The sequence below is a fragment of the Homo sapiens genome, chromosome 2 (assembly GCF_000001405.40).
Source record: "Homo sapiens chromosome 2, GRCh38.p14 Primary Assembly".
Classification (NCBI taxonomy): domain Eukaryota; kingdom Metazoa; phylum Chordata; class Mammalia; order Primates; family Hominidae; genus Homo; species Homo sapiens.
In genome coordinates this window covers 112,098,592-112,114,445 of record NC_000002.12, presented here as the reverse complement: position 1 = coordinate 112,114,445, position 15,854 = coordinate 112,098,592, and the positions used below count along the sequence as shown (strand labels likewise).

At 35.4% G+C, this 15,854-nt stretch overlaps 1 protein-coding gene across 4 annotated transcripts in view; it reads right to left on the bottom strand.

The window, feature by feature from the left end:
* TMEM87B (transmembrane protein 87B) overlaps window positions 1-15,854 on the bottom strand; it is a 64,046-nt gene that overhangs the window by 4,869 nt on the left and 43,323 nt on the right. For 3 of the 4 annotated variants that reach the window (NM_032824.3, NM_001329914.2, XM_005263827.3), the window contains exons 14-18: window positions 15,748-15,851; window positions 13,751-13,824; window positions 8,371-8,444; window positions 6,606-6,658; window positions 1,517-1,547 (exon numbers count right to left, since the gene is read on the bottom strand). In NM_032824.3, coding sequence (NP_116213.1) covers window positions 1,517-1,547; window positions 6,606-6,658; window positions 8,371-8,444; window positions 13,751-13,824; window positions 15,748-15,851 — 336 coding nt within the window. Of the gene's footprint in view, window positions 1-1,516; window positions 1,548-6,605; window positions 6,659-8,370; window positions 8,445-13,750; window positions 13,825-15,747; window positions 15,852-15,854 lie in introns of those variants that run through there. The other variant, XR_923049.2, reaches the window with a different exon arrangement.

Sequence of the window (15,854 nt, the reverse complement as noted above, 5' to 3'; positions counted from 1 at the left end):
CTGTAATGCTACGTCTTTCTGTAGAGTTATGAATCTTTCTGTAATGCTACGTCTTTCTGTAGAGTTATGAATCTTTCTGTAATGCTACATCTTTCTGTAGAGTTATGAATCTTTCTGTAATGCTACCTCTTTCTGTAGAGTTATGAATCTTTCTGTAATGCTACCTCTTTCTGTAGAGTTATGAATCTTTCTGTAATGCTACATCTTTCTGTAGAGTTATGAATCTTTCTGTAATGCTACATCTTTCTGTAGAGTTATGAATCTTTCTGTAATGCTACATCTTTCTGTAGAGTTATGAATCTTTCTGTAATGCTACATCTTTCTGTAGAGTTATGAATCTTTCTGTAATGCTACATCTTTCTGTAGAGTTATGAATCTTTCTGTAATGCTACATCTTTCTGTAGAGTTATGAATCTTTCTGTAATGCTACATCTTTCTGTAGAGTTATGAATCTTTCTGTAATGCTACCTCTTTCTGTAGAGTTATGAATCTTTCTGTAATGCTACATCTTTCTGTAGAGTTATGAATCTTTCTGTAATGCTACCTCTTTCTGTAGAGTTATGAATCTTTCTGTAATGCTACCTCTTTCTGTAGAGTTATGAATCTTTCTGTAATGCTACATCTTTCTGTAGAGTTATGAATCTTTCTGTAATGCTACATCTTTCTGTAGAGTTATGAATCTTTCTGTAATGCTACCTCTTTCTGTAGAGTTATGAATCTTTCTGTAATGCTACATCTTTCTGTAGAGTTATGAATCTTTCTGTAATGCTACATCTTTCTGTAGAGTTATGAATCTTTCTGTAATGCTACATCTTTCTGTAGAGTTATGAATCTTGAAGTTTAACTGTTTTGCAGCAAGGCCTTCTCAAACCTTCCCATCCCAGTACAGTCAAATAACAGACTGATGCCAAAATCATTTCCTTCTCTTTCAACGTATACAGCTCTGGCCCCTCTTATGTGCTACAGCCACCATACAAGTTACAACTTAGCTACCACTAACTTCCCTCCACTCGTCCTTTTTGAAAGTTAATGTTCCGTGCATCCAGTCTTTAATTCTTACACTTCAGATTTCTTCCCGCCTTGTGCCACACAACTTAATGTCCAAGTGATCCACAGCTAATTTTTTTCCCAAAAACTTTCCTAAATCCACATCCTCTATCCAAATTTCCTGCTTAGTAAATGAAAATGAGATTGAAACTTTAATATCTCAGCAAAATGTCTACAAGTATCAGAGATTAATTTAGACAAACTGCCATCTTAAAATCGTTTAAACTCAAGATTTCATAAAATAACCCTTCATTTCCTTCATACCAGTAAGTATTTATCTTGTTCTTGTTTGAAATGGGGACTTTATTCATAAATCCTTTCAACTTTACCCACAAATCAATTCATAGCATCTTTCTGTCTGTTCAATTTATAATAATCTTAAAAAGTAGCTTTCAGAACTTCTTTCTGAAATACATCTCTACTTTGTGAAAATATCAGCTCCAAGGAAATATGCAAAAATATATTTTACCTCATCTGAATCCACTAACACTGGAAGAGCTCTGAAATAAAAGGGAAAAAAAGGTGATAATGTTGTTAACAGTAAGGCCAGTGTATCCACGAAAGCCGAATACAGGCACATGCCATGGCCCACTAATTCTCACTCCTGGGTATCCACAGGTGACAGAAGGGAGCATCTAGGCTCGCAGACAGACATGCAGGAGTTTTCGCAGCAGTGCTGTTCTCAATAGCACTCAACTGAAAATAACCCCAATGGGTAAATTGCGGGTTATTCAGACAATGGAATACTATACAGCAAAGCAAATGGATGATCTATTGAGGGATAACATTTTAAAACCTGACACAAATAATCTACAGTTGTAGACTTCAGGACAGCAGGACCTTTGGGAAAGTGGGCTCCTGATGTGAAAGGGAAATAGGAAATGGGCTTTTTAGAGCACTTAGTGTTATTCTGTTTTTTGATCTGGGTGACGATTACACAAATGTGCTCATCCAAAAATTTTATTGCGGACCTAACCCATTTATGAGTAAACACATTATGAAAGGCGGTATTTACAGAATCCAGCATTTGCTTAACTTCTGTGTCATTATGACCACTGCCTGGATGTCTGCCAGCAAAGGGTACCAGAGAGAAGTGTTATATAACAGAACTTTTGCTCAACAAAGATAATATAGATATAAAGAAAAGACGAATGTAACAAATGTTAAGTAAGTTTAATCTAGCCTCAATGTGTGACAGAGGTCTGAGGGAGGAGAGCCTGAAGGAAATGTCCAAGTTCCAAAGTTTTGCCATGAAAGAGCCACGCACAACGCCAGAGGATGCTACCTACAGTGCGGTCCATGGTGAAGCCAGGAGGGCCAGGAGACTGACTAGGTGTGAGGAAGGAGGCAAGGCAGACTGTTTGGAATAATACGATTAAGGAAAATATGGGGGAGAAGACGGCGTTAGAGGAAAGGTGAACCAGAAGGCAGTCTGCTACACGCTTGGCACCTTGTTTAGAGCTAAACACTAGCAATATCAACAACGGTCCCTGCTATGACGTTAATGACTACTTAAAACTTATTAAGAACGATTCAGTGCATTAAAGAGGGAGATAAGCTATGCTAATGTCACCTTCATGGGTTATCGAAGATGAGGAAATTCACAGTGAATATCATACCAATATCTCATAATACATATCATGTGGTTATTCATGATCTGTTTAAAATGTCCCATGACTTATAAAATTTTTGTTCCATTTCCACAGATGTATAAGGGGAAGGCTTTTCTCTGTGTTTAAAGTCTAAATACTAAACTTGCTATGTAAATTGTACATTAATTTTGGATAGTATTGGGCTACATTTCTTGTGTTAAAGTTTTCGTAAGTGAAGAAGCAAAGGTTCCCAAGAACCTAAAATTTTGGAAATCATCTTAGATTATAGAGCTCTACTCATTTCACATAAATGGTTCATGAAGACATCAAATAAGAAGTTCAGTCTTCTATATTTCAAAGGATTTTTTGTAACCAAGAATATATTTCTATCTACAGAAAAAAATAGTAGAGAATGGTGACTTCCTCACATGCAAAGAGAACTACCTAGGAGCCTTATTGGTTTCCAGCAAGAAGTGATGGCACAGTAGGAGGTAAGCCTGCTTAAATAATTTCCTTCTAAAATGCTTAGTTATGAGTTTCCAAATCTGGAAAATAATGGTGGCCACCTAATTTGAATCTCTCCATATAGTCTTGCTCAAAAAACCATAAAATTACTAAGGATCACAAACAAAACCACAAAAGACACATGCCTTCAGCATTACCAAAAAAACACCACAAACTTGAAATTATATGTAAATAGAGAAATAAATGTCAAATTCCAACAGATTCCCTGCTGTGACTGCAAGCTCATGGGTACACAGAGTAGGGAAACAGAGGGTTGAGAGACTTTAGGAAAAATAGTAGAGGGGTGGGAGGACTCAGACAACCGTAGACAAAATTCAACCCCTCCAAAAAAGCCCAACACTTAGTGCCAACAGACTGAATAAAACCAGTGACTTGGAAGAAGTTCACAGCACCTGCTACACGGAAGGGGCTCAAATCGAGTGGGACAAAAAGCAGCACCCTTGAACGATCATTGTTTTCAGGAAAGGATGATATATAAAAAAGAAGAATATTCCTTGGAGATGTGATCGTGTAGTAAATAAAAAGAAGACAGTAAAAAGTTGGGGGGGGCGGTGGGAGAAGGTCTGCAGAAATAAAAGAAAAATAAAACAACACCAACCTCTCCTACTCCATACCATCAACGTCATCCATAAAAGAAACTACAATTCATGCGCACTGATGGAAAAAGGCACTCAAACCAGGAACCTTCATCATAAAAGCTCTCAGAATGGGAAAACAAAATCAATTCCATATAACAGTGCAGGAAAGAAAAAAGAAGGAAAATGAAAATCAAAACATTTTACAGTAGAAGAAAACTATAGTTATAACACACAATACTCCAAATTAAATACAATAACTTAAAAAGAACATTTGGCAATATTAAAAACATTCTACAGTAAGAAATCTAAAAACCAAGAGCAGAAGTAGATAAAAACAAAGCATGAAGAAATTCAAAGAATCAATCATAATCAGAAAAAAAATTAAAGAAAAAGACAAAAATGATTCCAGTGCAGTGATGCAGAAAAGTACAAGGCACCCAAGGGAGAATAAATTCAACAGAAATCTTAATGTGTGGTAGGAAAACAACATAGAAAATGAAACAAAGAAGGAAAAAAGGATCACAGAGAATGTGATTGCAATACAAGAGAGCAAGTAAAGCTGGACAGAAAAGGTCAGATGATCCCTTCCACAAAAAACACTGACAAAACCTGGACCAAAATGTCAAAAATAAGTAGCTAGCCGGGTACAGTGGCTCATGCCTGTAATCCTAGCACTTTGGAAGGCCGAGGCAGATGGATCACCTGAGGTCAGGAGTTCGAGGCCAGCCTGGCCAACATGGTGAAACCCCGTCTCTACTAAAAATACAAAATTAGCTGGGTGTGGTGGCGCCTGCCTGTAATCCCAGCTACCCAGGAGGCTGAGGCAGAAGAATCACTGGAACTTGGGAGGCAGAGGCTGCAGTGAGCTGAGATTACGCCACTGCACTGCACTCCACCCTGGGTGAAAGAGCAAGACTCCGTCTCAAAAAAAAAAAAAAAAAAAAGTAGCTGAAGGCACTGGAAAATGACCATGGGACATGGATCTGAGAAGCTCAACAAATTCCAAGGAGGATAGACAAAAAAAAAAAAAAAAAAAAAAGACCATACTTAGGCATATCATAAACACAATGCAGAAAGCCAAATATAAAGGAAAAATCAGAAAAACAGCAAAAGATAAATGTCACATCACACACATGAGAACAATACAATTAATGACTACTTTCTCCTCAAAAACAACAAAAGCCAGAAGATATTGGAAAGACATGTTGGAAGTGCTCAAACAAAAGTCAATCAAGATTTCTATATCCAGCAAAACTATCCTTTAAAAAGGAAGGAAAAGTAAATACATTTTCACATAAATAAAATTGAGAGAATTTGTTGTCAGCAGACCTATCCTATAAGAAATATTAAAGAAAGACCTATAGGAGGAAGGTCTTAGCTCATATATAGAGGAAAGAAAGAAGAAAAAGTAAATACATGGGAAATATAAAAGAATATATACACCCATATTTTCCTTTTCTGACTGCTAAAATAAAAAAGTATAACAGTGTATTGTTAGTTTCATAATGAATAGGCAGTTCTTACTTTGCACAGACTATTTATACATTAATTTCAGTTATCACAGTTTAGTTAAATAACACTAGTCCCCCAACAAGACAGTTTGAATTCCATAGTTAAATATATTTAACACTAGTCCCCAGCAAGGCAGTTTGCATTCCAGTAACTCATAAATGCGATGACATATCACTTCATAGTCACTAAGAGCTAAAATCAAAAAGGTGGACAATAATAAGTGTTAACAAAAAGTTTGGAGAAGTTGGAACCCTCATATATTGCTGATAGGATTATAAAATAATGCAGCTGCTTTGAAAAACAGCTTGGCACTTCCTCAAAATGTTAAACATAGAGTTACCATATGATCTAGCAATTCCACTTTAGGTATACAGCCAAGAGAAATGAAAATATATGCCCACACAAACCTAGAATTATCATATTCATAATGACGAAAACTAAAGATAAAGTTAAAATCCTGAAGGCAGACAATTCCCCAGCCCTTCTCACCCAAAAAAACCTCAACCCACACAAACAAAACCCATATAACATGTGGAGGAACACAGATAAGAACTAAAGCAGACATCTTTCTGAAACTATGAAAGCCAGAAGACATTCAAGTGACCAACCTTTTAAGTGTTGAAAGAAAAAAAAGGTCAACAAAGAATTCTATTCCCACAAAAATTTCTTCAATAAAGGTGAAACAAAGACTTTTTCAGACAAACAAAAATCTGACAGATTCACTACCAGCATACCTGCACTACAAGAAAGAAATGTAAAGGCAATTCTTCAGGCAAAAGGAATATCATAGTACACAGAAGCTATCTAAACAGAAACCAGATGGGGGCTAGGGAGGGAAAGACCAATATGTAAAAAAATTTTATCATACTTGGCTATTCTATTTTTCACTATGGAAACAGCTATCTGGAATTCTTGTGTCAAACAGAACATAGATAAAGAGGATCCTGAATAGCTCAAAGTTTCCAGAGGGGATTCCTATACTCATGTTTTTCCTCCAAAAGCCTCCTCACAATACATGGTGCTGTGGTTACCTTTAAAAAAAAAAAGTTTACATACATTTGACGTTTTCCATAATAGATAAAAAATGAAATGATCCTGATAATGGCAGATCAGAAAAAGCTAGAGTTGGTTAGAGGCCACTAGTTTTAAAATGGTTGCTGTATCGTGAAAAACAAAACAAGCCAGGGTTTTGTTTTCTTTGCAGTTCTGTAAGGGCCATGTACTGGTGATAGGGGCTTACCCAAGTACATGCAAGTACGAGGTTTGAAAAGCACATGACAAAGGATGAGAACGATCCCTTTTAAACTACAGCCTAAAATTTACAATCAAACTGTAACAGAAGATAACTTACACATCTGTGAATGAAGAGGGAATATTTTCTTCTACCCACTTCAAATCTTCATCCTGTAGAAATATTTATACTTAGCATTTGCTTAATATCACCTGACAGCAGAATTTTTAAAACAGAATATATATATAACTTAAGTGTTTAAATGTAAATATTTGACATTCTTTTAGTTTCTACATATGTCCTAAGTTGGCACTCATGCCATACAGAAATTATGCCACTGTTTTCTTACACACGCAAAAATTAGATTTCAGATTTCTACACTTCTTGGTTTTAGTTGGATGTATGAAATATTATTTTTTTTGTCCTGAGAAATCACAGTAAAAACACAAAGTTCATTTGTAAGATAGAAAATAGCAAGGATATTGAATTTTTGCTTTGCCACACTCATTATGCCTCCTAATTTGTTCTAGTTCTTATATAATGAGTTTATAACTTTAAAAAAAATGATGATAATACAAACATTCTTTTTTTTTTTTTTTTTTTGAGACAGAGTCTGACTCTGTCGCCCAGGCTGGAGTGCAGCGGTGTGATCTTGGCTCACTGCAACCTCTGCCTCCCAGGTTCAAGCAATTCTCCTGTTTCAGCCTCCCGAGTAGCTGGGATGACAGGCACATGCCACCACATCCGCCTACTTTTTGTAATTTTAGTAGAGATGGGGTTTCACCATGTTGCCCAGGCTGGTCTCGAACTCCTGAGCTCAAGCGATCTGCCTGCCTCAGCCTCCCAAAGTGCTGGGATTACAGGCATTAGCCACCGGGCCTGATCTCAAATATTCTAACTTTAGAAAAGCCTATTTATTTGTATCACTCATTTATGCTCATCTCCCTACAGGAGGCAAGAAAAGGAAAGCAGGTCAGCTGAGATAGCTATCTGTCTATGTCTGTCTATCTTATCTAACTACCTATCTATCTATTTTATCCATCCATCTATCCTTTCTATCCATCCCTCCAGTCTATGTTATCCATCTTGTTTATTTATCCATCTGTCTAATCTATTAGAGAATCTGCCAAATCTAACAGATAAAAAATGTCTTCACATATTATCTATCGTGTCAGAACTTATATATGCATACATAAATTTTTACATAGTATTAATCACAGCACATATAGTTATAAGGAAAGTATAAAACTATATGATAGACATTTCCATTTTACATTGTTGTCTTCAAAAACATTTTTATGCATAAATAACATGCAGAAAATATTTTTTAGCTCATCTCTGCCCAATGTTTTACAATTTTATTCAAGCTTCCCACCTCAAAAAAAAAAAAAATCTGTTAATTTTGGTAACCGTGTAGGTAACACATAAAGTTCTTTACCAACAGATAACAAATGTTATTTTAAAATGGCTTCAAAAATCACTTTCATAGGCTGAAAAGTTAACACAAGCTTTTATTGGAACAAAGCTTTCCCATCTCGAATGTGCAGATGAACAGGCTATGGAATCTTTTCAAAAAGCAGATTCCAATTCAGGAGCGTCCGGGGTAGGCCTGAGACTCTGCATCTCTAACAAGTTCCCAGATGATGCTCATGCTGCTGGCCTAGGAACAGCAGGTGAGAAGTGAGATCTACAATGAAGGTATTTCAGTTATGGACAACCAGGATTGCTACTTGGCACTTGGCAACACTAATTTTTATAACAACAACAACAAAATCTTAGTAAAAACTGTTCTTCTGAGAGTCAATGAATATGACACTCGTATAGCTCTCTAAAGTAGTGAAGACTAAGGAAGACTAAGATTGTACTAAATATATACCATACTCACAAAGTTCTCAGAAGTGGCAGGCTTAGCTGTTCCATTGGAAACTGATTTTGAGGCTCTTAATTTTATTCCTTCGGCTACGAGAGACATTATAAACATATATATAAAATCACAAAATAATATTTTCCTTTAGAAATTTAATAATCTGATAAGAAAAAATACTATATCTTTTTAGAAATGGAGGGTTAATAATGGAAACTTTAGGCAGGATGCTGGATTTACCATTTGGGAATGTAGGAAAAATATATGAAAAAAGTTCACAGATTTTTGGAAACTATTTGTCAGAACCACCAGGTTTTCAAGTTTCTTGTTTGAATCCTAGTTTTAGAGTTTAAACAAGTATACATGCATACATATTTCCTTAATTGCAATTATTTTAAAGTTTATGGATTTAAAAATCTTCAGGATTCATGGTACATTCAAGAACAAAACACATCTTTGGGTATGCTTTACATCCCTGATGTACAAATTTTGAAATGTGCGTATGGCATAAAGAAGATAGGAAAGATCAAGATTTCTTTCATATTTGACCAAGGCTCTTCTGCATGTTTGCAGTTTCAGTGGAGCAAAGGCTAAGTGTCTGCCTCACTGGAATCTTGGGCAAGGCAATTAACTTCCTGTGACTTAGTGTTTCTGACTATAAACTGGGGATAATAATAATTTCTACCTCATAGAGTTCTAGTGACCATTGAACAAGTTAGCACATATAAAATGCCTGACACACAATCTATGCCCAGTAAGTAGTCACTTTTGTTATTACACTAATTTGCAAATATTGCTTCTCCATAAACTAGAACAATTATAACATAAGCTGATGTAATAAATAAAAATGAGGTTCCTCAATCCAAAAATGTTTTCCTGGGACATTCAAAACCCCAACATTTCTCTTAGAAGGGGAATACAGTGATTTTTGAACACTGAAGCGTGTGTGTGTGTATATATATATATATTACAAATTTTAAGTGTACAGTCTGAAGAAACCTGACAAATATATACACTTGAGTAACTGCCATGCCAATCAATACAGTTAACATTTCCATTATCACAGAAGGTTCTTTAAGTTCCTTTCTGGTCAATCCCCACCTCACCAAAAGCAACCACTGCTCTGATTTAGATAATCATCTAAATCATGCAACACTTTCATGCAAGATAAACATTTTTGAGATTAAGTTATGTTATAGAGTGTTGGTTACTTTTTATTACTGAAAAGTATTCCATTGTATGGATATATGGCAATTTATTTATCTTTTCACCTGTTTGTAGATAATTGTGTTACTTCCAGTTTTGGACTATTAAGAATAAAGCTGCTGTAAACATTCTTGTGTTTCTGTAGACATCTGCTTCATTTTTCTGGGTAAACCTTAGAGTGGAACAGTTGAACTGTATGGTAGGTATATGCTTAACTTTGTAAGAAGCTGTCACATTGCTTTCTAAAGCGGTCATGCTATTCTACATTCCTTCAAGTACTGTATGAGAGAGCCAGCTGTTCCACATCCTCTCCAATAGTTCATGCTATCTATCAGACTTTTTAATTTTAACCATTCTAGCAGATGTGTGGTGGCAGCTCATTATGGTCTTAATTTGCATTTCCCTGATGACTGATTATATTGAGCACCTTTTAACGGGTTTATTGGCCATTCCTATGTCTTCTTTGAAGTGTCTACACTAGTCTTCTGCTCATTTTTTGCAACATAGGTTATCATTTATTGATTTACAGGAATTCTACTTATATTCTGGATATAAGCCCTTTGTCAGATATATATGTACTGAGAATATTTTATCTCCCACTGTAGCTAGCCTTCTTATTTTCTTAAATTCTTCCTGATGAGCATAGATTTTAAATTTTGATAAAGTCTCATTTTTTAATTTAATGGTTACTGTTTTTCATGTCCTAAGAAATTACCCCATCCAACGTCATTAAAATATTTTCCTTTTTTCTTCTAGAAGAATAACAGTTGAAGCTTTTCCATTAGGTCTGTGATCCATCTTGAATTGATTGTGAGATGTGCAACAAAAGTCTAATGATTTTTTTTCCTACACATTTATCCAGTTGTTCCAGTACCATTTATTAAAAAGACTATCCTCTCTTCATGTAAGCCTTGGTGCCTTTGTCAAAAATCAACTGACCACACATGCATGGGTTTATTCCTGGACTCTATTTTACTACCTTGATGGATTTCTCTATCCTTATGCCAATACCACACTGTCTGGATTGCTGTAATCTGAAATAATTATGTCTTGAAATCAGTATAAATCCACTAATTTTATTTTATTGAGAGATAATTCGCATACCATATTGAAGTACAGTTAGATTTTGAGATATTCACAGAGATTTGAGATATTCACCACTCTCCAATTTTGGAAAATTTTCATCACCCCACAAAGAAACCCCAAACCCATTAGCAGTCAGTCCTTACTTTCCCCCTCCTCTAACCTGTGACAAGCACTGATCTACTTTCCGCCTCTACGGACTTGTCTGTTCTGGACCTTTCATATAAACAAAATTATACAGTATGTGGTCTTTTGTGATTGGCTTCTTTCACTTAACATAATGTTTTCAAGGTTCATCCATGTTGTAACTACAAGAATGTTAAGGATCTTCTACGTCTTTTGCTTTTCCATATACATTTTAGAATCAACTTAACCACTGTATTTTTTTTTAAGTCAGCTAGAATTATAATTGGGATTGCACTGAATCTATTTATCAGACTGGGAAACTGAGAGCTTAATACTGAGAGTTCCAATTCAGACACAGGTTCTATCTCTACATTTACTTATTCTAAAATTTATCTCTGCATTGTTTTATAGTCTTCATTGCAGAGGTTTTACGTATTTTTCATTAAACTTATTCCAAGTATTTTATTTTTGAAGGTATGGTAAATAACATTTTAAACTTCACCTTCAATTGTTTTCAGTTAATATGTAGAAAAACAACTGACTTCTGTACATTGGACATATACCCTATGACTGTCACAGTCACTTAGTTCTACCGTACTTTTTCTTTTCTTTAGACTCCTTGGGATTTTTCCATACATAACCATGTTGCCTGCGAATAAACACAGTTTTACTTCCTCCTTTCCACATGTTCTTTCTTTCACATTCTTTGGAGTTTTGTTTTGCTTCTCTGCACTAGGTAGGACCTCCCATACAATGCAGAATCAAAGTGGTATGTACATACCCTTGCACTTTATCCCTAATCTTGAGAAGAAAGTGTTCACTATTTCACCATTAAATAGAATTTTAACTGTGGAGTGTTTTCATACCATTTTAGAATTAGTTTGCTGAGGCTTTTGTTATTTGTACCCACTGAGATACTTTTGTCATTTTTTTCTTCTTTCTTCTTTTATTTGTACTATTTTATTTTTATTTTTATTTATTTATTTATGTTTTTGAGACAGAGTCTTGTTCTGTTGTCCAGGCTGGCGTGCAGTGGCTTGGCTCACTGCAAACTCTGCCTCCTGGGTTCATGCAATTCTCCCGTCTCTGCCTCCTAAGTAGCTGGGATTACAGGCACACACCACCACGCCCGGCTAATTTTTGTATTTTTAGTCAAGAGGGGGTTTTGCCATGTTGGCCAGGCTGGTCTCGAACTCCTGACCTCAGGTGATCTGCCTGCCTCAGTCTCCCAAACTGCTGGGATTACAGGCATGAGCCACCGCACCCAGCCTTATTTGTACTATTTTAATATGATGAATTATACTGAGTGATTTTCGGAATGTTAAAACAGCCTTGCAACCCTGGGATAAAGTCCACTTGATCATGATTGTCTTTCTATATTTTGCTAGATTTTATTTGCTAATATTTTTAAAGAATTTTTGTATGCCCACTCATTAATGATATATTGGTCTATAAGTGGTCTATAATTTTTGGTCTATAATTTTTTCTTGTAACGTCTGTTAGACTTTGGCATTTCAATTGTACTGGCCTTTTAAGTACTCCCACCTCCTTTACCTTCTAAAGATTTTGTGTAAAATTAGAATATTTCTTCCATTTCTTCCTTAAGTATTTGAAAGGACTCACTAGTGAATCATTTGGGCCTGGTACTTCATAGGAAGATTTTAAATTAAAAAAATTTTTTTTAAATTTCTAATAGATCAGAGCTATTCAGACTTAGTGGCACAGGGTTAGAATTAAAATTGGGTTGTTATATGTATTTTTCAATGAACTTGTATTTTTCAATGAACTTGTCTGCCTCATCCAGATTGCCCAATTTGTTACCATAAAATTGTTCATAATATTTCCTTATTTACCTTTTTTACCATAGTAATGTCCTCTCTATCATTTCCAACATTAGAAGTTTGTCTTACTGTACTACAGTTGACTTTTGAATAATATGGGTTTGAACTGCTCAGGTCCACCTACATGCAAGTTTTTTTCAATAAAAGTTACACCACATATGTCTGCCTTTGCTGCCTCCCCTTTCCTTCTACCTAATAACATTTTCTTTGCTCCACCTACTTTATTGTAAGAATACAGTATAAAATACATATAATACACAAAATATGTGATAACTATGTTAACAGTAAGGCTTCTGGTCAACAGTTGACTATCAGTAGTTAAGTTCTGGGAGAGTCAAAAGTTATAAGTAGATTTTCAACTGCTCAGGAGTTTGGTGCCCCTAACCCTACATTGTTCAAGGGTCCACTGTAGTTTTTTCTTTATTTCTGGTTTAGAGTAGCTAGAGGTTAAGCCACTTTTCACTAAGCTTTTCAAAGTAATTACTTTTAGATTTGATGATTTTTTTCTATTTGTTTTCCTGTTTTCTATTTCATCGATGTATTAGAGAACCAAAACAGAAGGTGAAAAAGAATGTTACTAAGAGAAGCAAAAGTAAGAGGACAAAAAAATGAAACAAAGATAAAATTACCCTCAACATCTGAGTTACTTATTGATGTTGCCTTAACAGATGCTTAATTAGATTACAATAAAATTAATAAAATGATAAAATGCTATGTAGAAAATAACAGAAAGAATGAAAATATCATTAAAACTTTAAGTAGAAATGCTTTCAGCATGATCAGAAATTACAGGTGTGCATACTTTAAAAAGAGCAAGAAGATGCAACTCAAAGAAACTTAGCAATCATCAAGATGAACATTATTTAGCAGCTAAGCACAATATACATCAAACCATTCTTATGAAAAACAGTGTAACTATTTCAACATTTTACGAAATGAGTAACAAGCTCAAACTACAATAGTCTTGAAAATTTCATCACTGACCTTTCTGTTACTGTCTACCAAAATAAGGTTTCTGAAGATAAAAGTTTTTAAAATATTTTATAGAAAAAAACAATATATGTGACCTTGCATCACGGGTAAAGGTACAATATTTCTGTTGCAATATGTACAATGGTCATTTAAAAAGAAAACATATTACTCACTTAAATTTTCAGAAGTTACCATGAATTCCTCAATTTCATCATCAGAATCATCTATTAAGGGCATGAAGGCATATCTATAGCAAAAACAAGGAGTAGTTTTACTAGTATGTTTAAACTTGTTCAATTTTCAGTTTATATCTAAAAGCCATTGTATAAAAAATCTACATTTAAAAAATTTCTTATACTTTAAAATAATGAAAACGTAATTATTTTACTTTCAAATTAGCTAAAATTATCATTAAGAAATTGTGAAACTGGAGCTCTCAAACCCTGTTTGTAAAAGCATAAGTGGGTAAAATCTTTCTGCAAAGCAATTTTGCAATATTTAATGTTGAGGGAAGGGAACTTTCTGCTGTTTCTTTCTCCATGTCAGGTTTACCTCTCTGCCCACCACTTGTCAGTTTATTTCCTAAAAAAAGAAAAGTTGCTAATCTGATTGGTGAAAATAAAGCCCACTGAATGGGCCACATTTCCTAGGGTGATAAGCTCAAAATACTGCTGATGGAGTGTGAATCAAGACAACCTTTCTGGAGGGTCATTTGGCAATAGCCATTAAAGTAAAAATTCATTTACCTTACATTACACTAACAAAAGTTTGCCAAGATGATGTCCAACAGCATTCTGAAAACATTATTGATAATAGCAAAAATCTATTTTTTAAACAAAATGTCTAATAACCAGGGACTGCTTATATAAATTATATTACATTCATGTTATAAAATGCCATAAAACCATTAAAAGTAATGTGGTAGATCTATACATGCTGATATGGAAAGATAGTTGTTTTTTTTGTGGTTTTTTTTTTTTTTTTTTGAGACAGGGTCTGGCTCTGTTGCCCAAGCTGGAGTGCAGTAGCAGCGGCATGATCTCAGTTCACTGCAACCTCCACCTCCTGGGCTCAGGCCATCCTCCCACCTCAGCCTCCCAAGTAGCTGGGAGTACAGGCACATACCACCGCACCTGGCTAATTTTTGTATTTTTTTGTAGAAAGAGGGTTTTGCCTTGTTGCCCAGGCTGGTCTCGAATTCCTGGGCTCAAGTCATACACCCACCTTGGCCTCCCAAAGTGCTAGGATTATAGGCGTGACCTTAAACAGGAAGGTACAGAACAGTATGTGTATGTATATGCGTGTGTGTGTGTATATATATATATATATATATATATATATATGTATTATTGTATAATTTTAAAAAGGACAGGAGAAACACACTGATACAGGTTGAGTAGCCTTTATGCAAAATGCCTGAGACCAGAAGTGTTTTGAGTTTTGGATGTTTTCAGATTTTGGAACATTTGCATTATCCCTACCAGTTGAGCATCCCAAATCTGAAAATCTGAAATTCAAAATGTTCCAATGAGCACTTCCTTTGAGTATCCTGTCCGTGCTCAAAAAGTTTTGGATTTTGTAGCATTCTGGATTGGGATTTGGGATGTTGAATCTGTACATACTTTTTCATTTTTTCCTAAAGGATGGACAAGAACTTAAGTTCTCTCCTTGGGGCAAAGGGATAAAGCAAGGAAGCTGAGGCTTCCTATCACATGCAGTCTCAAGTACAACTTTCTGAACTTGACACTCAAGTCTTTTGTCATTTTGGCCGTACTTCTCCCTTCCAGCTTGATCTCCCTCCAATATGAGTATGTGGTATTAACCAAACTGCATGTCTCACTGGCCTCCAAAGTATCTCATGCCTTTCCCACCACCCCAGAAAATGGACACTCTTTCCCAGTTCAGTCATTCGCTATCCTATTCCTTTCCTCAAGGTGTAATGTAAGCGCTGTCGCTTCAAGAAGTCTTCCTCAACCCTCTTCCATCTTCCCCTGGACTAGTCTATACATCTCTTTTTTCACTGTCTTGCATTTGTTTTGCTTATCTCCCTACTTGACTGTATACTCCTTAAAAGCAACGACTATTCTCCTGGTTTCTATAAACGTGTTCTTGACACTATAGAAGGTGATCAACAAATCCTTGACGACTTGAAATTTCCTATGTTAGGTACCTCTGATTGTTTGCTGATGGTCTCCACAAAAACATGATTACAATAAGGATAAGCGAAAAAAGGAAGCTCCAAAATGCATCGTCAACCCAGCGTTCCATCCAATCCTA